The sequence below is a fragment of the Homo sapiens genome, chromosome 3 (genome assembly GCF_000001405.40).
Source record: "Homo sapiens chromosome 3, GRCh38.p14 Primary Assembly".
Taxonomy (NCBI): domain Eukaryota; kingdom Metazoa; phylum Chordata; class Mammalia; order Primates; family Hominidae; genus Homo; species Homo sapiens.
Genome location: NC_000003.12, coordinates 79,435,333 through 79,463,127, shown reverse-complemented (window position 1 = coordinate 79,463,127; position 27,795 = coordinate 79,435,333). Strand labels below are relative to the sequence as shown.

Here is a 27,795-nt window from a genome sequence, read left to right as displayed (position 1 = left end):
TGCTGGGATTACAGGCGTGAGCCACCTCGCCCGGCCTTGAAAAGGTTCTGACAGTGAATAGACAATAGGAAAGAAAGTTAACATACCAAGAAAATTCCGAAATAGTTTTCAGCAAACTTAAAATAACATGAACATTAAATAACTTGACATGAAAACATTCTGTATCTTAAAAGTGTTAGATAAATCAGGAATCATGTCTAAAGTATAGCAATAGTGTATCTACGTATACTATACGCAGTTTGTGTAAATAGTAACATTGATTTCTATTTCAAAGGTGGCAATACACCACAGATTTTCATTAATTCATCTACTCACTTGTTTATTCACAAAACTCTGAATACTAACTACATGATAAAATCAGACAGGTACAAAAAATACAAGATGATTAGAGTGTAGATATTGTTTTCACACTGCCAGCAAACTTCAAAGTTATGTCTGATTCCCTAATGGTGCACTGAAGGAGATTTGTTTGAAAAGCTTTATATTCTTTATATTATTTCGTAGGTAACTTTATTTTCTTTCCAAAAGTGCTTCATTGTCTAGTAATTCTACACAAAAGTGCTTCATTGTCTAGTAATTCTACAAAACTTTTAAAAATTTACCTGTCTTTTAAAAGGTTACACATATAGTCCCTACTCTCCGTTGTCATTTGATGTGTCACCTCATATTCTATTAGCAAACAATGATTTCTTAAAATCTACTATACAAGTAATAGAACAAAATAAAAACTTTACATTCTCCAACATGCCTTTGAAAGTGTGTCGTTTCCATTTTTCAAAGTTATCATCCAGCGTAGTTCATATAACTTGCACGTATGTTTAATGACAAAATAGATACAGGTGTTTAGAAACTTTCTGCCCCGTTGCATCTGGGCTTGCCTGTGATACTTTAACCAACACAGTAGGACAGAAATGACAACTTGTGAAATCTGGGACTACTCCTGAGGTGAATGAGGGTTCTCATCTTGGAAAAAAAGTGTCTACTTTTTCTACCCTACAATCCATAAAATCCATAAATACCTTTCATTTGGCTATAATCTTCAACTTTATGTTACTTACCACATAATAATACTACCTTGACTGATATATCATAATTTATTTAATTATAACCTTATTTTTACTATTATATTTGCCAATATTAACTTAATATATAAATGATATAAATAGATTGATAGATTGGACAACAACATTTTTTGCTTAGTTTGGATTGTTTTTTAGGAAAAATTCTTTACACAACCTTTTTTTGACAAATCTTAGGAGAATTTTTATGCCTCTGGAAACATTTCCTATTTTGCCATTTCAAACATTATGCCATTTTCAAACATTATGTCAAAATGATAGAGAAGTGCCAGTATTAGAATATGCTTGCTGTTGTTGCATGGCATCTTAGTTCTAAGATCCTCTGTTTTCTGGTTACTTATTGCTGTGTAATAAACTGCTCTAAAACTTAGGGACTGAAAGCAACAAACATTTCATTATGTGTCATACTTTGTGAGTGAGGAATTCAAGCAGGACATGCCTGGGTGATTCTTCTAGTCCATGTGGTACCAATTAGAGTCAGGATGGTATTCAGTTGGCAACTTGGCTGATACAATAATGTATGGATGACAATCCAGACAGCTTCACTCTCATGCTTGATGCCTTAGGGGAGACCTCTAGAAGGGTGTGCTCAGCTGTGCCCCTCTCCTTCTTCCTGTATTTTCAGGGCCACTTCTTGTAATCCCTCAGCAGAGTTGTCAGTCATTTTATGTGGTAGCTCAAGATGCAAAAGGCCAAGATGGGAACCCCCATTCACCTCAGGAGTAGTCCCAGATTTCACAACTTGTCATTTCTGTCCCACTGTGGTGGTTAAAGCACCACAGGCAAGCCCAGATGCAACAGGGCAGAAATAGACCCCTTCTTCTCTTAGAGTGTCAAAGAATGTGACCCTATGAGTCCACCAAATTATGATTCGATAATTGCCAATAAGACAGACTTTTGGTTACAACTTAGCTTGATGAAAGTTGTAGTCAGACTAAAATTCTTTTTAATATTTTAATTTCAGTGAAGTAATTTCTTACAATGCTTTGTATCTCTGATAAACTAAAATTTTATTAATTCCTTATTGATTTTAATATAGCTAAGCCAAGCAGATGTGCAATTAATTTTTTTTAATAAAAATACTACTTCTGGCTGACAAGGTGAAACCCCGTCTCTACTAAAAATACAAAAAAATTAGCCGGGCGTGGTGGTGGGCGTCTGTAGTCCCAGCTACTCGGGAGGTTGAGGCAGGAGAATGGCGTGAACCAGGGAGGTGCAGCTTGCAGTGAGCTGAGATCGCGCCACTGCACTCCAGCCTGGGCGACAGAGCGAGACTCCGTCTCAAAAAAGAAAAAAAGGAAAAAAGAAAAAAATACTGCTTAAACATGCTAGGGAAATCAAAGCAGGTGAAATTGCTATTATATTGTTGTATATTTGGTATTAACGGATTGTTCCCATTAGGGTTATAAAAGGCTAAATTTTAATTTTCTGGGTGGGTCAGAAAAATTGGCATAATTTTAAGTGCTTTATCTGATGCTATATTCTGATTTCTCTCTCAGATCTATAAATACTCTTGACAAGGATCATTAAATTTTAATAGAAAGGCATCTGGTTTATTCCTCACTGTGGCTATTTTCTTTGTATAAGCACTTGCTTTACTGGTATAAAATTATTATGTACTCACATCAGAATACTACTTAAAATATATTCAACTTATGAAAAGCTTTTCTTCCGGTTTGGAGAAAGTGTGTTAGATAGGTAATAGATTTTGTAAATTGGGCCACATGTTACATGGTAAATTTAAAACACATTTGGATATTTACAATCAGTGTTACTGTAGTCTCCATATATTGATGGCAATGCCTCTCAGTAAATGGGAAGTATATATTACATTTATCAATTTAAGTCAAAATTACCAACTTTCCTCTTTCCTTCTAACCAGGCACTTCGTTTAAGTGAAAGATAATTGGCCAGAGTAATAGATATATTGTTTTATGAGGTAAGAATTAGAATTTATAAAAGGAACTGATGTCTTGATGATAGTCATAAATTTTTGAATCAAAATTGATGCTTTGTTTTATTTTTTCTGTAATACATCACATAACTTACATATTATTTATCACTTCAAAGAAAAATTATAAAATCCTAAGCTTACTACTAATGCAGCTTTATTCAACTTCAGGTATTTATATTTGTTCACCATTTGTAACCACCATTTGTAATGGCAAAAAAAAGAATTCACCAACATTTGCTTTGCCTGGCTGCCAGGTTCCGGGTCAAAGTACCTTATTTTATTATTTTATTCATAATAATACCTTGTGAAAATGCTTTTTATTGCTTTTTAAAATAGTGAATTAATGTAACAATGAATTACATATACATTATTCTTAAAATATAGATCATTTTATTCTGGTTTTATTATGAAAATCTGTACAGTTTTCCATTGTCTGAAAAGACATTTTACTGAATATAGACTTCTATTCAATATATTCTTTTTTCTAATTGAAAGATTACTTTTAAATGGTAACATTTTCAGAGAAAAAATGCATGCGGAGAATTAATAAGTCATTGGGGAAAAAATCAAAAGATTTGGTTAATCTCAATGAAAATATTATTGGTTCTATATACTCTTTCCTTGTCCTCCTTATATAGTCCTTATCAAAACTAATTCTCTTAATCTGTTGACAATGCCTGTGGTAAATTACATGCAAATACAAATGAACATTCAGTGTCACACACTTAACACTTAAAATACAAATGTTATGATTTTTTGTAGAGAATAACTAATTTTAGCACTTTTTGTGTGACCACAAGTCAAAGCATGATACCTATCAATTGATTGATTACATTTTAAAGAGAATTGTGTTCATATTAAGCAACCACAAAATGAGTAAACCATAGGAAGGAATTTTTAGAGGAAAATTGAACATAGGAACATGTTTATTGTAAGCAAGGTATACATTTTTTTCCTGAGTAGTAAAGTATAAATGTGATGCATATTGATATTGTACTTCAGGAAATTACCAACATAATCATAGTTAAAATAATTCAATGTCACCACTTAAAAACGTTTAATAAGTTAGCATAAAGTTGGATACAGTTTTATAGGGTCATGATAGTATAAATTTTCAGTTTTTAAATATTTTTTAGTTTAAATTTATTGCTTTCCTAGTAATAGTAAAGAAAGTTTTGTTTGGGTTTCAATTTGATTTTTTTTTCCTTTTTAAGTATTACTCTGGCAAATTGGATATGTACCTATTCTTCTGGTTTCTATTGGGGTCATTTTATTTGTGTGATTTGATGCTGAAATATGTTGTATTTGTTTTGCTTTATGCTAAAAAGTATTAACATTTTGTTAGGTTGGAAATGCTCCCCACTCCTTTTCACCAGTTTTTTTTTTCCTATGGAAAATCATAGTGTTTCGTTTTAATATTTCTATCTTTGTTTTCATGCTTAGAAGGTCCTCGTCTCCATATATTTTTTCTTAGATTCGTATTTTTGCTTTTTTCTCCTTTTTTTTCCTTTTAACACAGTAAATCTTAAATCCTAGAGTGGCGTCTTTCTTGTCCAGTGAACACATGATAAAAAATGTCAGGGTGAAGATACTGTTGAGCATTCATCCCCTCATGCATCCTTTACCAGCAACTCTTCTGAGTGGCCCATTCTTCCAGATCCTTCATACTCACTGTTGTGGAACAAGACATGCTGGGGAGAAAGCATTGTGTTTCATAAGAAGTAGAAAACAATTGTCTTGGTATCTTGGAATAAAGAACATTGTTTGGCAAACATTTCTGCCCTGCCTTACTGCCACACCCAGGCTGAGTTCTTGTTGTGAGGTCTACCTTCTCTGCCCGTTAACATTTCCTTGCCTCTACTGCTGATTAAATCTCATTGTGCTGAAAATAAGTCTATCTTTATTATGCCGCTTTGACTGACTCCCTCCCCTTTATTTCATCTTCTAGGCATAATCAACATTTTTTTTTCTTGCTATTTAAAATGAGAAATAATCTGTGAGGATGCTTTTCTTTTTTGCCCCAAAGCCTCTTAACTCCTAGAATCATTAAGCTGCTTTCTTTCCTTCATGTGGAATTGGGTGATAGAAAACTCAATTGAGTTGTTTCTCAAGGCCCTAATTAAAATTTTGTAATTACTCCCCAAACTGTGAGCCAGATCAGAGCTGACCTTCACCTCCATCTTCTTTCCCTGTATCATTCTTTCTTTCTTCTCTATTAGTTCATCGTCATATTGCTATGAAGAAATACCCAAGGCTGGGTAATTTATAAAGAAAAAGAGGTTTAATGGACTCAGAGCTCCACATGGCTGGGGAGGCCTCACAATCATGGTGGAAGGCAAAGGAGGAACAAAGTCATGTCTCACGTGGTGGCAGGTGAAAGAGCATGTGCAGGGGAACTGCTGTTTAACCATCAGATCTTGTGAGACTTATTCAAGATCATGACAGCAGCATGGGAAATACCTGCCCCCATGATTCAGTTACCTCCCACCAGGTTTCTCTCATGACACATGGGGATTATGGGAGCTCAAGATGAGATTTGGGTGGGGACACAGTCAAACCATATTACCCTCCACTCTGTGAAGCAATGGTGAGTCTTCTAGGATTGTGATGGCAGCATCTGTACCAAAGATCTGACCTGGGGAAACAAAGGAGAAAATGACTCAGCGATGCACTCCCATAGACACACACACACACACACGCACACACACACACAGTGTTTCATTCATCTTATCTTAGAGTACCCCTCATACAGATAATATTCATTACATGAAAGCAACATTTATAACTAATAACAGTATGGTAAAACAGATTATATAATAATTCATGTTAAATTAACTTTAAAAATTATTTTGCAAAAGTTCAGTTGATGAATGCTGATTATTTTGTTTGTTTGTACTAATGACTGTGCTCTCAAATTTTAATTTTCTGTGATTGTATGCCTTGAATGTCATCAGTAAAATCAACTGCTTCCTACTGATTCTTCCAAAGTAAAATTCATCATTCGTTTTGGAGTCTGTGAGTTTATGCTTTGAGAATTTAAGTGTCCAGTATTAAATTACTTGGAGTTAAAGTCTTCGGAGTACAAATATTTTAAGCTGTTATTTGTAGGTCTTGAGAAGAAAAAATTAACTCTGGAGTGTAGGGATATATTTACCTTGAAAGAAAGATGCACAAATAGCAAAAGGTTATCTAGAACACAGCAAGACCTTTCCTGGAGAAATGTCTGTATTTAGGGGCAAATTTGGTGTAAGATTTAGAAGCTTGAGGATTTTAAACATTTGGAGGAAAGAATATTATTAGGATTAAAATGACATGTAAAATTTATATTAAAAGTCGCTAAAGAAAAAATAGCTATTTATTAAATATTTGTTGAATATTTACTAGGGGCTAGACCTAATATTCTAGGTCTGACACAAGAAATACGAAGCAAAACTAAATGAGTATGATAAGAAGTTGTAATTGATTCAGATAGAGAAAACTTCATGTTGGTTCTTACTGTATTTTTTGTAATCACTGTACTTTGTACAGCAATCAACTCAAAATAAAAATAGGAGATAACAGAATAAAACTATTGATCCATAGCTTTTCCTTCTACAGAAATGGGCTTTAAGCTATCCAACCACGTGTCATGCAGTGTCTCTGCCTCCAGAAAATACTCCATTGCTAACACACAGAACTTTTATTTGATACACTTTGTATTTGAGTAAAATTGTGACTTTCTTGATTCTCAGTAATATTTTGATGTTTTCACTGATATGAGTTAGGCTTGATGTTAGGTGAACATACTGCTCTAACAGCTTCTGAGAAATACTTAAGATTTCATCACCAAAAATCTTTTGATTAAACTGTTATAAAGGACCAAATGCTTGACAGATTGTGTTAATTTGCAAGGCCATCTTACTTTTCCATTAGATATTTGAACTTCTAATTAAAATTTCTCATTTCAATGAAGGTGGTAGAAATGAAGGACATTATATCAAGAGAATCAAACTAACACGTATGGTCAGGAAGATTTCAACATGTACTTAAGTAATGCCTGAGCATGAACACCAAAAGCAGCTTTAGGCATAAGAAGCTTAATACCAACCAGAGGTGTTCAACAGATGGTGCCCACAGGATACATAGAAAAGACAGAAAGGTAAATGTAGAGCTACTCGGGTTTCTTTATTTCTGTTATACAGATGGAAGCTTAGTTATATGCAGTCTCTAGATATTTTACAGAGTGTCATGTTTCGTATTCGGTAATCATTCTTAGAGCTATGTATGTGCCATGCTCAAATGCTAGTTCTTTTTTAATAATTACAACTTATCAGTTGTTACCACTTAGACTTCATGGCAGAAAAGTGCAGTATAGGACTAAATACTTCAAAAAATATGTGGAGGGGATGAAGAAACAGCCAGTGCATGCATCTCTAGGCACAGACTTTGGAGGTTTAATTTGAACAACCCACGAGTCAAATAGTTCTTCCCTGTATCTACAATCAAAATGCGGAAAATGACTCAGAGCACTACAACTGAGGTAATTATAATAGCACACATGAAGGAATTATAGGTGAGTATTTAAATGTCTCCTTTAAACACTTCATTACTGAAATATTTCACCTGAATTTTAGAAACTTTTAAAGTGAATCCAAAATTACCTTTAGCATCTCTTCTTAAAATTACACACCTCACAATTATGACATTTAACTTCTTTTTTTAAAAAAAGGCAAATTTCTTGTCCTATAAAAAAGTAGGCAGGAAATGGCAGAACAGTTAAGCCATCTGGTCCATAATGAGCTGTATTAACCAAAAACTAAAGATTGATGTTAAATGTGGCATTTCACCCATTCCACAGAGGTAAGTGTTAAATCTCGTACTCTAGCTTCAGGCCCTCCTTTTTGTGTTCTAATGTGTCATTCCAAAGAGCAACACTGCTCTTTCTGTTACAAGAGTCTTCTGTGTGCATATTTTAGCCTTTTTTTTTTTACAAGGTGTGAATTGAAACTAAACTCGCTGAGTTTTTAATAACTTTAACCAATTAGGTAATAAGAACAGATATTCAGAGTGAGCATATTAAACTGTAATCTCTCTTGAGAAGTAAGGTACTTAGAATGTTCCCTAAGAAACTCTTGCCAACCTCTGAAAACTAGTTTTGCTGACTTTGCCTATGGGCATCTATTCAGCCAGCTAAATAGTCTGAACAGAAAGAAGGGCTATACTGATCTTCCATTTGTTAGATAACAAATTCTGTGTTTTACCTCATTTCCAATACCCTGTCAGAGCATTCTGGGCATGAGGTATGTGTTTTAGTTGAAGATTTTCAACTGATTCTGAAGAAACAAATGTAAAGATGAGATGCATGGATATAAAATAATCTGAATTTGAAACAAAAAAAAGAGAATTGAATAAGTGAAAGGAAAATTATAGTTTAAGAAAAAAGTATCCACAGAGGTACTTTGAAATTTTATTGGGCACTAGTTTTTAAGAGATTTTAGTTTCTCATCACTATTTTTGGCCTCACTTTCTATTCTTTCTTTACCATTGAATGACATCTCTTTAACTCATGCTAAAATGCATCACTAGAAATTTGAAGGTGGTCTGTCAATTGAAAGGCAGGTTAAATAAATTGCTTCTGTGTGTCTGATGCTTGCATTTTTATGTTTTTCTTCAGTTTACGTCTGTAAGTCAATGCTCATGTCAAGTGTAGTAGGTGTCCCACGTTAACATGAAGTAGAGTAACTGAATGAACGCCCATTTAAAAATAGTATAACTTGAGTGAGGGAAACATGCCTTGACAAATAAATAAAAATGAACATTACAGTGCTTATTTTTCTATCTTTATTTCTTGGTAACAGGATGCTGCAATACCTATTTTTTTCTTCATGTAATGAAATCATTTCAAATTTTTTTCAAGTATGTCTTAAATCCGTGAACTCTCTGTGGCAAGCTCTGCGTAATGTTTTGGAGAAAAAAAAAAAAAAGGAATGAAATTAATTAATCTAGAACTTTCCTCACCAAAACACCTAATTTTTAAGAAGCCAATTAGACTATAGATAAGAGTCTTCTTTCTTTACAAACTCATATCTGACTTCAGTAACACACTCCTACTTATTTGCTTAGGCTGACCAAGTATGAGGAGGAGTTCCTATCACAACAGAAAAGTCTAGAAGAGGCTCAGCACCTGGAATCAACACTTTCTGCAAAATCAATCTTTCATTGTTGCTGTTGTCAGAGCCTTCTTCTCCCATGACTTTGCCCATTACAGGACAATGAACTAATTAGTGAGATTCAGTGCAGTCTCTTGGACAGCTACCTTGTCTCGTGCTTGGATAGTGTTTTTTCCAAGTTTCCTATTCTGGCCTGGCCCTTTGACTATCTGATGTCTCATGCTGTGATTTATTCTAGTCAAACAACATCTCATTTTCCCAGGTTTTCAGCACTCGGCTTTTGATGTGAGTCTTTACTGAGACCTACATTCAGTTAGAATTATGAACAACTCCCCAAAGCTACTAATTTTAGCAGTTCCTGGCTCTCTACCTTGTGACTGCCCAACCTGCTCTTCTTCAGTAATTTTTAATCTCAGTATGCCTAAGTGAGGCTTCGTGAAAATGCCTAAGTTAGAGCTATAACCCCTAGGATTTTGTCTTAATTTGTCAGAGTTAAGTCCCAGAAATCTTCATTTTTATAATACTGAATAGTTGTGTGGTCTAAAAGCCACTGTTTGACAAGCATCACTCTCTTTCTATTTAACCTCTGTTAACTTATGTAAGGAAAATGGAAGAAGGGCTTTGGTTTTTCAGTTAATCATGGTGACCAATAATGTCCTACTTGGCAATGCTAAATGGTCTTTTGCATTTGATGGCTCAGGTGTTGCTTAGTCTGAAAGCCCTGTAGTCAGAATCTACTTTCACTCAGAGCACCATGCAGCCTCTATTCACTGAAGTCTTGCCTTCTTTCCTTGTACTGCTTGGGAGATGGGCACAGATGTAGAGCCCGTGGACTCTAGATTTGGCTACTTAAGATACCTGCCCACCACACTCTTCCTCCCATTCTTTGGAAATCAACTTTAGCCTCTTCCCTTCAATATGTGTATACATTCTTTATGTACAATATGTATGTATATTCTGGCTGTACCCTCTGTTACTCTCTTGTTCCTCTGGTTTTTATATCATTTCCCTTTTTGTACAAAACTTCAAGATTCTAGAAAACCACAGCCACAAATGCACATTATCAACTCATAACTTCTGCTTTATGCCCCACAGCTAAAATCTCTCCCCCAAGACTAGAGAAACATATGCTGGATATATGTCTGGAGAAAATATGGGAGGAAAAATAAACTGAATAAAATACATATTAATATCATATATATTTCAAGTAAAAATCTAAGTTGCATTCTAAATAAAACTCTTCAGGTATATAAAATCTACATACTTATTAATATACCAATTTTAGAAATATTAAACTAAGTGCTTTTGTTTTTAATTTAGGTAATTGACTAGTTCAGTCATTCCTATTCAATACCTACTGTGAACCAAGTACAGCAAGAAAATCAGCAACAAGCAGACACAACTCATGTCTTTGTGGAGTTTAGATTTAATAGTGACATGCATGGTAATCAATTATGAAATATGCAAAACTGAAAGTCCAATATACGTTCTATTGGAGGGTGATATCTTATGCCCTGAGAGTATGCAATATGGAGACATGGCACATTCTAGGAGATAAGAGAAGGCCTCTCTCAAAAAGTGATGCTCCAGATGGGGGAAGAAAGAGCTGAAAGTGGATATGAGTGGTGTGATATGAAGATACGAGGGTTGATGGGCCCCATGTGGTTTATTTTAAAAAGTTAAAAAACTTTGTATTTATTTAAGAGCAGTGGGAAAACATAAAAGACATGTATAGTGAGATGATTATAGGTTTTTATTTGATAAACTAATCTGAATGCAGTTATGGAAAATAAATTGGAGTGAGACAAAGGTGGATTTGGAGACATCTATGTCATTAAAGACAATGGTAACTGGGACATGTACAATGTTCCTGAAAATGAGATAAAGCAGAAAAATTGTAAAGAAGTTTAAGAGTCTTAAAATAAAAAAAAGTTGCATAAGGAATTAGAAATTGGGAAATAAGTGAATAATAATAATAGCATGATGTGGAATTGAATGCCCCATCATTTTATTGCTTAACTTTTTTTTTTCTGGACGGACCTAACAGCAGAAAGTTGTGTTAAGCATACTCCTCTGTTAAATGTAAGCCAATATCATTGTTTACAGCAAGACCTCTCTCTTAATTTACTTATTTTTCCCTTTCTCTATGTTTCCTTTACACCTCCTATAGGTACTCCCTCTAATACCCTGTCTTAGTCAGTCTGAGATGCTGTAACGAAATACCACGTACTGGTTGTTTGATAGTAACCTTCACCATATTTTAATTATTCACTTCCCTGATTTGAAACAGATAGATCATCCAATCAATCCACTAAACTAAACACAGCTGCAGTGAATATTACCACACATTTTGTTTCACAAATGGATGTAAGAGTTTTTCTCTGGTAAAATAGCTAGATTTAAAGCATGTGCATAATTAATTTAACTTATTATTACCAGAGTGCTTTATATAACTTTACCAGTCTACACTCCTATTAGCAGTTCATGAGAGTCCTAGTCAACCTATACTTCACCTACAGGGGGTAAGGCTCTTCCATTTTTGCAAGTTCACCATTCAGATGGTTAAGTAGTATCTCTTGTTCAAATTCACAATTCCCTGATTACTAGAGACCTTAAGCATCTCTTTATATATCCATTATTCATTTGAGCTTCATCTCCCTAAGTCAAGCTGCTTATTAATGATCTTTGACATTTTTTGTGAAGTTTCCAGCATTTTAAATGATTATAAATATATTATGCTTTTAATGAAAATTCCTTATTTTAATGAAAATTCTATATTGACTTTAGATACTGTACACATCTTACAATTTTTCAAATGGCTGCTATTCATTTTAAGTCTACGGTAAAATATGTCATATAAAGTGTAGTAATAATCTAAAAAGACAAGAATTGAAAAATAAAAAGAAAGGAGAAAATACAAACTTAGAATTCACAACTTTAATATTGTTGGAAGAAATTCAATATATCTAATGGAAAATAATCTGAAAAAAATGATTAATAGAAAATACAAGTTAATTTATACAAAAGACCTAGCATAGTGTCTGAAATAAAATCAGAACTGAATAATTACTATTTTCATTTCCCCTTACTGCAATGTGAAAAAGTACTTCCTGATAATCATTGGACATATTTTTATCATTTAGTTGTCAAAAAATGAAATTCAGGGTATTATAGAATGTTAGAGTGTTAATATAAGAAATTATTTAAAATTGTAGTTTTTCAAGCATTTTTAGTTGTTCATCTTTCTTATATAAATCTTATAAAATGCCACTATAGAAAGGAGATTAAGAATAGCATTTTCATAACAGAAACAATCAATATGAAAATCTCAGTGTCAAATAAGCCATCAAAGTGCTCTATTTAGTTTTGTATCCTAAACAAATTAATTCACCGATGAATTCTATTTGTATGTAATAGAAATCTATCTCATTTTTCATAAAACTAATACATTATTCGTATAACTGAAAAGTCTCTGGGTATTTATTTATTCAGACTGGATATATTCAGATAACTTGTCTTCACCTCTCAGTATTATTATTATTATTTTTCTTACTTTCCCTTTCTTTTTTCCTTCTCTTCCTTCCTTTCTCCCTTCATCCCTCCCTCTCTCCCCAGCACCCTGTCTGTCTGTCTCTGCCATTTAGTTCTCTTCTCAGGCACATTCTCCCCAGATTTACAGTCACTTCTCTTCAAAGACTCAGTAAAAGGAATTTGACTCTTTCATCAGTATCAGTAAAAGTCTGTAAAATTAGATTTATTAGCTTAGGTTGGTCTGTATTGAATCATATGCCTATCCTTACCCCAGTCTTTTTTTTTTTTTTCATTTTTTTTCCCCAATAACTAGTGACAAATCCATTGCTAAGAACTGGGTCAGAAGCTGAATCTTGAAAAACAAAATGTTTGTATCCCTGCAAAGAAATTTAAGGGGAAAACTGTAGAATCGTCTATTTTAGGTATCTATTCACAGCCCAGATGTTGAAGTCACTCTTGGGTATGTTTCTTAACCTGTCTCTGCCTAAGTTCCTCATATGTACAATAAGGATGATAATTATATTCTATATGATTGTTGTGAAGATGACATGAGTGTTTAGTACCTGACACACTATGGCCATCACATATGTGTGTGCTGTTAATGAAGAGCTTAAATCTATTGGCACCATAAACTTTTTTAAACTTTCCTTTTTTAAAACCATAGCTTATAGGATAAATGTATTAACTATTTAGATATTTATCATCAAACTATAACATGACTTTCCTTTTATTGACTCCTTCCAGAAAAAAAACTCAAATATTTTAAGTAGATTTTATAAATATTTATGAAGACACTGTAGAACACCTTGATTTAAGAAACTAATCTGTTTGAAGATTTCTGTTTGTCATTAATGTACTCATTTATCTGATTTAGCCCTTTTACTGAGAATATTCAAAATGTACACAGGGTCGTTTTTATTTTCTCATCAGAACATATCTATAAATATATTCTTTTTTAATAAGCTCCTGTTCCTGAATTAGCATTTAGTAAATTTAATTTTTTCCCCTAGTGAAATGAATGTTCTTCTGCCAAATTATTTTATAAATCAGAGAACTCATTTTGGTGTTTTTTTCAATTTCATAAAATATTTGAGGAAATGCAGGAGGTTTGCTATTTTATTGTATCTGAGGAGCTCCCTACACATATATTACTGAATCTTTTTATTTTTTATTTTTATTTTTTTGAGATAGAGTCTGTTCTGTGGCCCAGGCTGGAGTGTAGTGGCCCGATCATGGCTCACTAAAACTTCAACAACCTTGGCTTCAAGCAAGCCTCCCACTTCATCTTCCTGAGTATCTGGGATTATAGATGTGTGGCACCACACTCGGCTAATGTTTTTTTTATTCTGTAGAGACAGGGATCTCCCTATGGTGCCCAGCTGGTCTCAAACTTCTGGTCTCAAGCGATCCTCCTGCTTCAGCCTTTCAAAGTGCTGGGATTGCAGGCATGAGCCACAATGTCTGGCCAGTTACTGAATCTTGGAGGTAGAAATTATCATCCCTTCAAAGGCTTGGATACAAATATGTTAAAACAACCAATAATGGAGGTATCAATGAACGTAGTTAATGATGGGTAATTCACTCAAGCAGAATTTCTTTTACAATAACACAATTTCTCAGGCTGCAACATGTTGATACTTATGGAATCTGTTCCATTTTAACTTAATTATATGATAACAATGACAGGTATTTTAAATCATTAATCTTTCTTCTTGATATTACTAAAAGAAGAAAAAGTCTCTACATATACCAACTTTGGTATTTAGATGACATCAAGCTCATATCGCGGTGAGGAAAACTACCCTCTCCAGAAATACAAATGTGGGTTGTGAGGTGGGGTGCGGGGATTACCCTATCATAGGCAAGAACACTTCAGTATAATGGAGGACAAATAGCAGACATTATCAACAAATAAACTGCTAATTAATAATAAGTACTAATGCTATAAAAATATTAGGTTTTATGGAGGACCCTTACAAAGCATAAGAAAGATAAATGAATAGAATTACCAAAAAGACTGAGTTTACATTTAAGAATAGTGTAAAGATGTGATGAGAATTATGTGCTATGTTTAGAGAAAACTTCTTGCTATAAATGAATATTACTTTTGTGTTTAGAAATTATGCTTATATTGGAATACTTTTGAATCTTTCCCTTGACTAGAGCATACCATGATAGAATCACAAATTTTGAAATCATTGCCTAATATGAAATGCTGGTCCTGCCACTTTAAACCTGCATGATCTTGAGCAAATTTATCAACCTAAATTTGCCACAATATAGTTATCTTTAAGATTTAGCTAATAATAGCACCTACTATTATTTGTAAGGTTGCTTAAGGGATAAATTTCTCAACTTATATAACATACCAAAAAGAGTACTAACAGGTTACATTATAACAACTCAGTAAACATTATTTCTTAGCAGTGTTAGTATTGTTAGTATCAACAATAGTAGGTAGTGGGAGCAGTAGCAGTAGTAGAAGTGAGTTAGTAGATGTAGTACTAGTAACAGCAGCATCAGTAATAGATGGGTAGGTTAACCCCACCACCCACGTAAATTCTTTTACAATTAACAGAAGTAGAAACAGCTTAATAGGCGATGTCTCTTCTAATTCATACATTATAATTAATATTACATACTGGTTAGGAATAGAAAAATAAACAACTCTATCTAGTGTATCCATAACATTAGTACACTTATGGACTGGTTTTTGTTTAGCGACTAGTTTTGACACTTTTTATAATCCTCAAGTACTGTATAATCATCAGGTTCAAATTAATTCATGCTGTACTCAAATCAATTTAATTTTTAAAGTCTTTAATTACCTAGATTTTATAAGCATGATGTAACAATCTAAGATATAAAGCAAGGAATTTAAAGTCTGAAGGAAGGCGAAAGAGTTTGTTTCGTTAAGTCTCTATCCAGCACTTGAATCCTTTTTTCGATACCACTTGTTTCATTCAGGTAGAAGCTAAATATGCATTGGTGAAGATCTCATGATCCATTCCATTTTCGGACATTTGTTTTGTAAAAATTCTTTGCTTCTGTTGAATTTGTCCTATAGAACCACTTAAAACAAGTGCTGTGGGAGAGGCCTTCCATTATTGTCCCTCACATCTCTCTGTGGTCCAGACCATACATTCTCAGTTTCTTCAATGAGCCTCACATGATGTCATGTTATTGCTTGTATCTTATCTCTTGCCTTTCTTTTTAGAGGCAATCGAGTCTGTCTGTGTTAGGGCCAGGCGCAGTGGCTCACACCTGTAATCAAGTTTACATTTTGGGCCGCGCATGGTGGCTCACGCCTGTAATCCCAGCACTTTGGGAGGCCAAGGCGGACGGATCACAAGGTCAGGAGTTCGAGACCAGACTGGCCAACATGGTGAAACCCCGTCTCTACTAAAAAAAAAAAATACAAAAATTAGCTGGGCATGGTGGCGTTAGCCTGTAATCCCAGCTATGTGGGAGGCTGAGGCAGGAGAATTGCTTGAACCCGGGAGGCGGAGGTCACAGTGAGCCGAGATCGCACCACTGCACTCCAGCCTAGGTGACAGAGGAAGACTCCATCTCAAAAAATAAATAAAGTGTGCATTTTAAAACTTTTTTGAAATGTAGAAGAGCTATAAAGAAAGTGTTGGATTTTTATTCTTAAGCAAAGAAGACAAGACTAAGAGAGTAGAACATAATGTCAAAAATACTGATATGGCCCCAAATATTTCATACCCACTTCTGATCTTTTAAAAGTGCACTGAGGTATATTGTAATAATATCATTAGCATGCACATCAAGAACAAGATGTATAACATGCTTTAAAAATAAACAGATGTTCCCCAAAAATAATTTGACAGCTTAGTGGGAAAAATCCTCCATTTATCATATTTTAATTAAGTTTTGTACCTATCTATTATAAGCAACACTAATTGCAGCATGATCTTATTTATTTCAAAACACTAAAAAATAGCTATAATGCATATGGTGACAAAGTCAAGTGCCCTCAAATAATGTACTGAAATATTATTATACAAAACATGTTGCATAATAACCTTTCAGACATTTATTTTAGGAAAGATGATTTGCAATTATAGACTCCTATAATTTGATTTATGATAAATACAATTTTAGAGGATCTGCGGATTTGAATAATTTATTTTGATGTTACCTACAGAAGTAAAAGTTTGAATTTGCCACTTATTTTGACTAAAGATTTGTATAAATTAAAGGGATACAAATGGTAAAATAAGAAGCAAAATGAATATTTATATCCTTGTTGTAATAGGGGAAAAGCAAAAGTATTAAGAGAGAAAACAATTTCTGGGCTGGGCACAGTGACTCACGTCTGTAATCCTAGCACAAGGGGAGGCTGAGGCAAGGGGATTGCTTGAAGCCAGGAGTTTGAGACCAGCCTGGATGACAGAGTGAAACCCTGTGTCTATGAAAAAGTTTAAACATTTGCCAGGCCTGGCCGGGCGCGGTGGCTCACGCCTGTAATCCCAGCACTTTGGGAGGCTGAGGCGGGCAGATCACGAGGTCAGGAGATCGCGACCATACTGGCTAACACGGTGAAACACCGTCTGTACTAAAAATTAGCCGGGCGTAGTGGCGGGCGCCTGTAGTCCCAGCTACTCGGGAGGCTGAGGCAGGAGAATGGTGTGAACCCGGGAGGCGGAGCTTGCAGTGAGCCGATATCGCGCCACTGCACTCCAGCCTGGGCGACAGAGCGAGACTCCGTCTCAAAAAAAAAAAAAAAAATTGCCAGGCCTGATGGTGTGCACCTGCAGTCCCAGCTACTCGGGAGGGTGAGATAGGATTGCTTGAGCCCAGGAATTTGAGGCTGCGGTGAGCCATGATCACACCACTACACTCCAGCCTGGATGACAGAGCAAGACCCTGTCTCAATAAAACAAAACGCCAAAAAAAAAAAAAAAAAAAACAATTTCTGTATTGTTTACCAAAAAAAATACAGAAATGTAATAAAATCTGTGAACATTACTACGTATATAGTTCTACTCATGATATTCTAATGATAAACCTGATCACTGGTGTGATCAATTGTTGTAGTTTTCATCAAGTTCATTCTTATAAAGTAAAAACTTTAAATGTTCAGTCTGGGGTTAAATAATGAGACTGAATATATACATATATGTATATATTCAGTAATATATGCATTGGTGTGGATATGATGTACGCAAATATGTATCTTATGACACAAAAAAAAATAGTGAATGGGACTTAAAACCTGAACTAGGTAGGTAAGATGGATATTTATGTGTATGCAAACAACTGGAATGAGACAAAGAGGATACAACTGGACTGATTGTCATAAAATAGACACTAATAAAGTTTATCAACTAATGTTTAAAAAAACAATGATTACCAGTGATTTAGGATCCAACTTCTGCTTGCTATTCTTCTTGGATAACATCTTCTTCATTCATCCCTGCCATCTTAATCTCATCACTTTTATTGTATTAACCTCTCTCCTCCCTTTCCCTATAGCTTTAACATATTTGCATTGTTATCAGTTGTAGGACATAACATGAAAGGAATCTTTGTATATGTTCTTCCATAACTTCTTCCTTTCAACATTATTAGTGATATTCATTTATGTTAATGCATATAGCATTATTTAAATTTTGTCATTGCTGTGTTGCCAACTGAAAATACTACATTTTATGTGTCCATCTTACTATTCATGTACATTTGATTCGCCATTATTTAAAAAAAATAAAGTTTGGACCAAGCTTCTTGAATTTTTAATGTATTTATCTACTGGTGCTCAAGTCCAAGAGACTCTTCAGGATAGAAATCTAGGAGTTGAATTGCTTGGTTGTAGGACATATGAATGTTCAATTCCATATGCAATGAAAAAATGTTTTCTAAAGTTGTTTAAATTTCCACTCTTACTAGCAGAAGAGGAAATGTCGGCTTCTCAGTATCCTTGCAAACACTTTAATATTAGCTGGCTTTTACATTTTTGCCAATCTGGTCAATTTGAAATACTATCCTATTATAGTTTTACTGTGTATTTCATTTACTGCTCTTATCATTATTGGAGCCATTTTGGATTTTTTTAAATTATATATCTGTTTATGACTTTTGCCCATTCAAAAAACCCATTTTGTTTGCTATTTTCTTTTACATTGGGAGTTCTTTATACAGCATTAGCGTTAATTTAATGCCTGTAATGTCTTCTCTCAGTTTGTGATTTATTTTTCCTTCCTTCAAGGATATGTTTTCATGAAAAGAAATTCTCAATATCATTGAAATTAACAATATATTTATGTAATTTGTAACTGTGAGGTTTGTTCTAAAAAAACTCCTTCCAAGGTGATAAAGATATTCTGAAAGATCATTTAGATTTGTAACAAAATTGTTAATCTGTCAAATAAATTTTTGTGACTGGTATAAATTTAGAATTCTTTTTTTTTTTTCTTTTCATGTGCACTCCCGGTTTTTCTGTCTTCAATTACTGGAAAATCTGTCTTTTCCTTCACTGACTTGTAATACCCACTGTCAAGATTCCATATATGCTTTGTTTTTTTCCCTGTGTGCTCTATCTCATTCTATAGGTCTACCCTGTGTGCTCTATCTCATTCTATAGGTCAGTTTTTCTGATTCGTTAATAAATTATGCAAATTGTTCTAAGATGAAATACATTTTTATATTTGATAGAATAAATTATCCACCTTGTACTATTCTTATCCCTTTGTCCATGTGGATTTTAGAATACGGTTGTCAAGTTTAATGGAAAACTTACGGGGTTTTCATTGATATTGTATTGAATCTTAAATTCATTTGTTGAGATATCATTGTAATATTTGTTGTTTTAACAAAAAGTGCTATATTTCTCAATTCATTTAGGTATTATTTAATATATTTCTATAAAGCAAAATTTTCAAGAAGCACTCATCCCTGAGAGGTACTACTGCCACTGTTGAGATCCAAAAGCTATAATGGTTTTTATGTAATTCTAAATATTTTGGATGTTGAAAGATGCAACTCAAGTTAATGAAGTCAATCCATTTAACCGAGATAGTTAATTCACCAATAAACAACTACAATGCCTGTTAATTGGGGTTATAAAGGACCGAGTATTTCAGCTGGAGCTCTGAGTGAATTCTTATGACAACTCTGAAGTTGTTATATTGCAAAGTTCAAGGCTTATCCCTTGGTTGCTTTCATTTTTCAAGTGGCTTAAACCTCGGTTTTAAGGTACATAATTTTTCTCCTCTAGTCACAGAAATATTGTTATCCTACTCCAGTGATCACCTGGCTGGATTTTTTACTTCTTTTCCTTTTAAAAAATATACATATGTGCAGAGATGGAAATGTCTAACTCTAAGGACATTTGAACTTGATAAGATTCTAAGGAATGTAAAAGCATGATTTTCATCTAATGACAAAGACATCTGAACTTAATAGAATGTTTGTTTCAAATTCTTAGGACAGGATTATTATTCCAGGTATTGAGATGAGTTTTGAGTATCAGTAGGCCTTCTTTACCTTGCAATCAAAACTTGTCTACAATAAAAAGTACCCTGCATATTTTCCCTTAGAAAAAATGTTTCTATGATACATCCTGAGAAGCAGGATGGTTCAGGAAAGAATTCTAAGCAAGAGTGAGGAGGTCTTCCCTTGGAGGTTCCCTTTAGCCTGGTGTTAGTGAAAGTTTTGAAGCTGATTTGTATCAAAAGTTGGTTCCACCATGAGGAAAGGAGGTGGTCCTTTTGTATCTCCTTAAACAGTCATTTGTGGTTGGTGGCCAACTGAGGCACCTTCCATTCTGTGAAGGGTAATTTTCAGAGACAACAGAAGTGAGACTTCCACAGCCACAACCCTCTCTGTCACTAGAGTATGGATGCACCTGAGACAAAGGGATTCAGACGGGACCACCAGAATGCCTTCCATAAGTCCAACTTAATTTCTTAGTAATCCTGTATTAATGCATAAAGAGAAATAAGATAGTTACATTAATCTCTAAATCTATGAAATAAATGGAAAACAGATACTATGGAAAAGTCTGAGTAATTTCCACCAAAAAATTCCTCATAAAAAGAAATTCTGAAATATATGGCACTATGTTTTTATATTACCACCACAATAAGCACAGTGATATATTATAGATGAGTTTTCTTATATCTCTACTCAATACAGGCTGATAATATTCCACCAAAACACAATTCAGGGGAAAAAAATCTATGAGAGACCAAAATAGTTGTACATGAATAAGGATTTCATCTTGAATGTAAAGCTAAGGACAGATTGCTTACATTTAAGGCAGTCTTCTGTGAATTTTATTATTTATTTATTTGCATCTGGGCAAAATAAAAAAATAAGAATTGAGGAGCCGAGAGATTATATTCTTTTACTTTTTTTTTCCTTTCTTGGAAAAATTGGTCCTCTTATGTTCTTAGAAGTCAACCTCTCTAGTCACAGAAATCAATATAACTTACTTGTTTAAATCAAATTCTGCTATATCTATAGCAGATTAATTTAGAGAACTACTGCTATGTTGCATATGAAATCATTTTATGTTGTGGTTATAAGGTCTATCAATTTTGAAGTAATCTCTGGAGCACAGATTCATGCCTTTAGAGCGTCCTGCCTAGTATGACTTCTAAATCATTTTAGTTTTCTTTTAACATTTCCTTACACTAACACTCTGCAGACTCTAGAAAATGAGATTCGTTTTTTTCCTTTGACACACTGTTTGTGGAAGTGCCCCTGAGTCATATCATTATATCTAAGATGACCAATTGCTTTTTCTGAGGATAGAAATTCAAGATGAAGTTATTTGAAGGACTAAGGAGAGTAATGATGAATTTTTCATATGCTCTTATTCTATTTTCTCGCTGTAAAAAATGTATAAAACAGATCTATTCAAGCTCCATGTTCTAGCCAATGGAACATAATCACCAAAAGACATTGCAAAAACAATACTTAGTTATTTACTTAAAAACTGATTGGCCATGATGGCAAGAAATGCTAATAGTGCCGCCATACAGAAATACATAGTTTGAAATCACACAGACACAGACAAGCATATGTAATACATCAGAATAAAGGACAGAATGCAGCTTAGTGTTCAATACCTAAGAAACTAACATTCACTGATCTGTTATTTAGGAGTCTATGTGAGGTTATAATTGTCAAGACTCCTTGAATACCATTTTACTATGTTAAGTGTTATTGCTAATAGTTTTCTCTTAAAATATGGTTGAAGCTCTCTGTTACTAATAAATGTAATATACTCTAAATGTGTTTATACTCTTTTGAAACTCAACCTTAGCATCTTTTGTTATAAACAATAACAATCATAATTAACAAGAGTTTAGCATATATGTTTTTTGGATAACAATAAAAAAATAAGCATGACTAGTTAAATTTGATATGAATTGCTCCGTATGTCAAACTTTAACTTGATATTAATGTTTTTTTATTTATGGTTTCAAAGTGCAAACTGGGTCATTCATCTGTTGAAAATATTTGCTTGCATGTCTATGAAAATAGAATAGAGATCTGAATCCATTTGATGGCATCCGAAGCCCTCCGCATGACTCCCTTATTTCCACCAACAATTTTTCTCATTACTTTAAGGACTTTATGCTTCTCTCTTTTCTTCCTCAAACAGTGTCTATATTCTTCCATCTTGCCTTGCTCAATTCTGTGTAATTTAACAACCAAAACAAATGTGCCTCTCTTTTGTATTTGGTTCTAAGGATAGAAAACTTAGTCCCACAGTATCTATGGTTCAAGGGAGGAGCAAATGCGCAGACAACTGAAATTGTCACCAGAACAAAGAAGTGCGCATAGGGAACACACATATAAACAAGGGGAGCTTGTTTGAGGACAAGGACTATCCTGGTTCTTGCAGGGGACAGCTACAGAAGGCGAATAGATCAGGGATTAAAGTAAGAGTTGTCTAGCATTTGCCATCTTAGTCGAGCTGGCTGTGATATATGAGTGTAAAATCAGCTACATAAATTATGAGCAGAAGCTTATTCCAGACAGAGGATGAAGCTTATGCAAGATCATGATGTATTTAGGAAAGTACAAATAGTTTGGTATGACGGGTAAGTGGCAGTGAGTGTTGGAAGTGCAGGTAATGAGGGATAGGGGTGGTGAGATAAACTTAGTCGAGATGATCAGAAACCTTTTCATGACATACTTTCATGACATATAATAAACTAAAAGTTTATTGTACTTTAAACCAGTGGGGAGGGGAATGTGATGTGATGCTATTTGCCTGTTCAAAAGATGACTCTCACAACAGCGTGAAGACTGGCTTCGTGGCAGGTTCAGAATGAAGACTCTAGATGTGTAGATAACGAGAGAATACTGGACAGATTTCCTCTTCACTCTTCTGTGACTGGCATGCCCTCTACCTTTTGTTCTATCTGTTAGAGTCCCAGATTTCTTTCAAGGTCTGGCTCAAATGTCACCCCTCAATGAAGCCTTCTCAGATCTTTCCTCCATTAAAATATTGTCACTCTCTTCCCTGATTATTCCTTTAGTTCTCTCTTCCTCCCTAGCTGTGGCTCTCTCTCATCTTCATTCTAGCTCTTGTTTTAGTATTGATTTATCTGAGGTTTCTCTCCAACTAAGAATGAACATAAAAACAGGGTAACCACTCACCAAATATTTGCAGATCTTGAAATTTTTATTACTTTTCAAAGAAAATAGATTTACATTAAAATCTGAAAATGATGTATTGCGGTAAAAGAGATAAATTTGAAAACTATGTATGTGAAATTCCATTTAAATCATGTTTATATTTAACTATTAAATTTATTTATCTTGTTGCTTCTTCAGTTTTCTAGTGTATGCCAGTTGGTAATGGAAATCCCTTTCATATCAAATAAATGTTACTTTTAGAAGGCAAAGACAATATATATGTGTCCTCTCAACTTAGCACATGAAGAAGAACAAAAGCATACCTAAAAATAATTTAGATAATAATAGTTTTGGTAAATTCATTTATGTGAGTTATTTAAATTACTTTTGTCTTGAGATGGTTGGGGAAATGTAAATTTTATGCCAAAACTAGATTCTGCACAAAAGGCTGCTTTGCTGTGAAACATTTTTCCCCTAAAATTGAGGGAAAAGATTGTTGTATACATCCTCATTGGCTTCTGTTGAGTTGATGTCAGTTATAATATTCCACAGTACGAAATTTGCCTGTCTTCACTTTGTAAACAGAACTATACCTTTATATAAGCATTGTAGACATATATTTATTAGTGGTATTATCTTCCGTACTTAGAAGTAATTAGTATTGATGAAATATTATGTTATGAACACATCAACCCTGAGAAACATAACTAAATGTTCTGTCTCAAAAATATTTAACAGACAGAAAATACATTTGTTTTTATCACTCATCCAAACATTGAAAAACATACTTTCCAGGTTTCTAAGCTCCCAAAGATTGTGGTGACAATGAGCAAATGAACTGATGCTTAAAGGGAAGGATTTCATACCTATTCAGAATATTAGCAAACAGCTGCTAGTATCAGTGGTATTTGCCAGATCTATGAATCAATTTGAAGCATGATTTTTCACTCAGGGAGCAAACACAGGAACCAAGACTCTGGTGGAAGAAAAGAAAAAATAAAAATGACCTAATTGGTTTAAAATGTTTATGGCCACATATTTTATTGTTATGTAAATAGAAATGAAGGATTCTTTTCACATAGTGTGCTTCAACACATGGTGATAATTTTGAAGGGATAAAACCAATTTGCTATCATTCCTCTCCATGAAATAGAAAATAAACTATTGAGTGTTCTTTCTTAGTTTCTATGAGGGTACTTAAGAACTCACACCAAGTAATTTGACATGCTACTTATAAGTATCAGTGGCCATATGCCAGAATAATTTATTCTGTGGATAAGAATATTTTAAAATATAAATATTCCAGTTTTTAACTCCTTGGTACACCTACTTTTTTCTCATCCATATTTGATGTAAGGAATAGTACATCTTAATATTACACACTTGACTTTACAAAAGCGCACTTGGGCATGAAAGATTTGTATTGTTATGACTTTTTTTGGTAATAATAACAACCCATGATGTTAGTGTTAATATAAATTGGAGTAGACATTTTGGTTGGCAGTATCAACAGTCCTGCAAGATCAAGACTTTCAAAACTGTATGGCTTTGACTCGTTATGCTTCTAAGACTATACAAATAAAAATGCAGGTATTTAAATTATTATAAATTCATATGAGAGAATATTCAAAATCGTATATAAATGAAGTATAAGTAATTTGTATGACATTAAGTTAAAAAACAGTGAGGGATAGATAGACAGGTGGATAGACAGATAAATAGATATCCCAATTTCTGTTTCTGTTTTATATTAGCACTGATTTCATTTTAAAGGTTGGAAAGAAAAAAACCAAGAAGATTAATATTAATTATGTTTATGAAGTTCTGATTTTTCTTGTTTTGTTTTTACTTTCACAGTTATCTAAGTTTTCCATAAAGGTCAGAACTTTTTTTTTTATTGAAGTGTAATCTATATAGGAAAGTAGACAAACACCAAGTGTACAACTTGAATTTTTCCACATTAAATGCACCTTCATGTGTGTTTTCAAGGAATAGAATGTCTCTTCCCCTTAGCAGTGTTTCCTCTGCCCCACTCTCATCACCAACTCCCACTATACACAACCTTTATGCTAATATCTATCACAGTAGACTAGCTTTGCTGTCATTGCACTCTATACACATAGAACCATACAGTACATATGTAGGATGTTTAGCTGCTTTTACTCAGTATTGTCTACGTGAGAGTTATTCACATTGTTTTGTATAATATTTCATTGTATTAATATGTCTCAACTTGCACATTTTATTGTTGATTATCATTTGTGTAAGTTTTCAGCTTTTGGCTATTACCAATATAACTTCTATAAATATTCCTGCCAATATACTTTCTTAATATATTTATAAATTTCAAAAAAGAGTATATATGTTGGGTTGTAGGATACACAGATGCACACCTTTGGTAGATATTGCAGGTATTATATCTTTTCCAGCAAGAAGGAATGGACAGAAAGGAACGGAAGGGAAGAGAAGGGCCAGAATTGGCTAGATATGTTGACCAGCTTGATATTCATATTAACTTGGGCAATATTATCTGGTCATTGACCCCTGATTTACCAGTTATCTCAGTCTTTCATTGGATCTTGCTTTCTTGGTAAAGTTGAATAAAGCTATGGTCTTTTATCTGTATCATTTTAAGGTAGATCAGCCTTTCTTGATTCTCAATACTTCTATTAGCAGTGACTAAGATGAGAGGTACAGTCTGTGCCAATGTTATGATTTAGAGATTAATGACATGTGGATTAACCGTTACGATGCATGTTTTAAATGCACAAAATTAATTTCTTTGCAAAAAGGCAACAATCAAGAATCCAGAATAAGAAAATTCAGAGATTTGCCTGATCAGGAAATAAAAGAGATGAATCCTATATATGCATGATTTGAGAGAAAAAATAATCACTCTAAAAATCATGTTAGGGGCGTGGGATGAATTTTTAAAGCTAATTTCTGTAACCCGAAAAGCTAAAAGCCATCTTTTTATAACCACCTTCACTCTTTACAATGCCTTTTTTGATATGAGGAAGCTCAGCCTGAAGTTTTTGGAATGATCAAAATTAAGAACATGATCTTCATTTTTGTTGGCCCAGATATCAGCTTTAACACTTCAAACACTCTTTTAAAATATCTCACACTGTATCAAAAATAACTTTCCTTAGCCACAAAGAAATCTGAGAGCTCTGTCAGTCAGCAAGCCCATATGTAAGTGAGAAAGAAATATGCTGCTTAGTTTACATGACAACCTACAGATCAAAGCAAAATAAATAAATAACATTGAGTTGACTAAGCCTTCTATTTCTTTGGTAATAAATATTAAATATAAGCACTTTGAAATGAAAGACTGAAGACACTAAAACTATCTGCGGTGAAATAAGATGGAAAGTTGAGTTCCCTGGTAAAGGGGAATTATAATTTTTAATGTAGAATTTTCATGTTCACCAAAACAAAAAAAAAATACAAATCAAACATGGTACAGATTGGCCGGCTAAAAATAAAAGGTTTTGTCCACCCTTTAGAAATGCAAACATTGCAATGGAAAAATACTTTAGTCTTTTAAAGGCAAACTAACCATATGCAATTTGTTAAGTTTCATTTATTATTTTTAAAATGGCATTTTATTCATTAGCACATATTATTAAAATTTAGTTTAAATGAAACCATGATCTATAGGATTAAAAACTAAAGTAGCTTTCTTTTGTACTGAGAACTTATTATTCTTTCTTTACAAGGGTCCAGTGTTTTCCTGGCATATAGAGCTATTAACTGTTACACAGGGTTTTATCTCTGCAGTGGTTTAAATTCCTCATGAGTGACTCTGATTCTCACAATAGTTTCTTCCTTTTCTTAGGCTTCAAATTTTAGGATTGATCAGCTTTTTATAGGAAAATTGAAGGAAACATCTTCTCCCCTCAGAGAAATAAACTCAGAAAAGTAGAAAAAGTTTATTTTAGAGATAGCTCAATTATCTTACATTCACTTTGCTCTTGGCCTAGTGAGGAGCTATCAAAGGAAGGGCAACCCTCTGATACAAGTTCAACAGGAAGTTTGCTCAAATTAAGAGAATACCCAATGTCAGAAAACCAGAATTTTATAATGGATGTCTTAAACTATTCTGAAACAAATTCCTTTACTCAATTTGATTAATACTTTACAAATCCTGAGTTCTGGTGGTTCCTACAGGAATCTCAGTAATGTTGTTTGTGTCTAGAATCATGTGCACATATGGTAATTCCGACATAGACTCAGCCTAAAATGCTATAGAAATTGCTCTTTATTATCTACTTAAGAGAGAAGAATAAACCTAAAAAATAATATGACTGCCGCTCTGGTAGGCTCAAAATGAATAACGTGCATACAGTGCAGATTTTCAGAGAAAAGTGCTGCATGTGGAAATAAATATGATTCAAAACGTTTGATAGAGCCAGGCCCAGTGGCTTGCACCTGTAATCCCAGCTACACAGGATGCTGAGGT

At 33.8% G+C, this 27,795-nt stretch overlaps 1 protein-coding gene across 10 annotated transcripts in view; it reads left to right on the top strand.

The window, feature by feature from the left end:
- The window catches only part of ROBO1 (roundabout guidance receptor 1), a 1,170,760-nt gene that overhangs the window by 304,871 nt on the left and 838,094 nt on the right, over window positions 1-27,795 (top strand). The gene's annotated exons all lie outside the window — the stretch shown is intronic.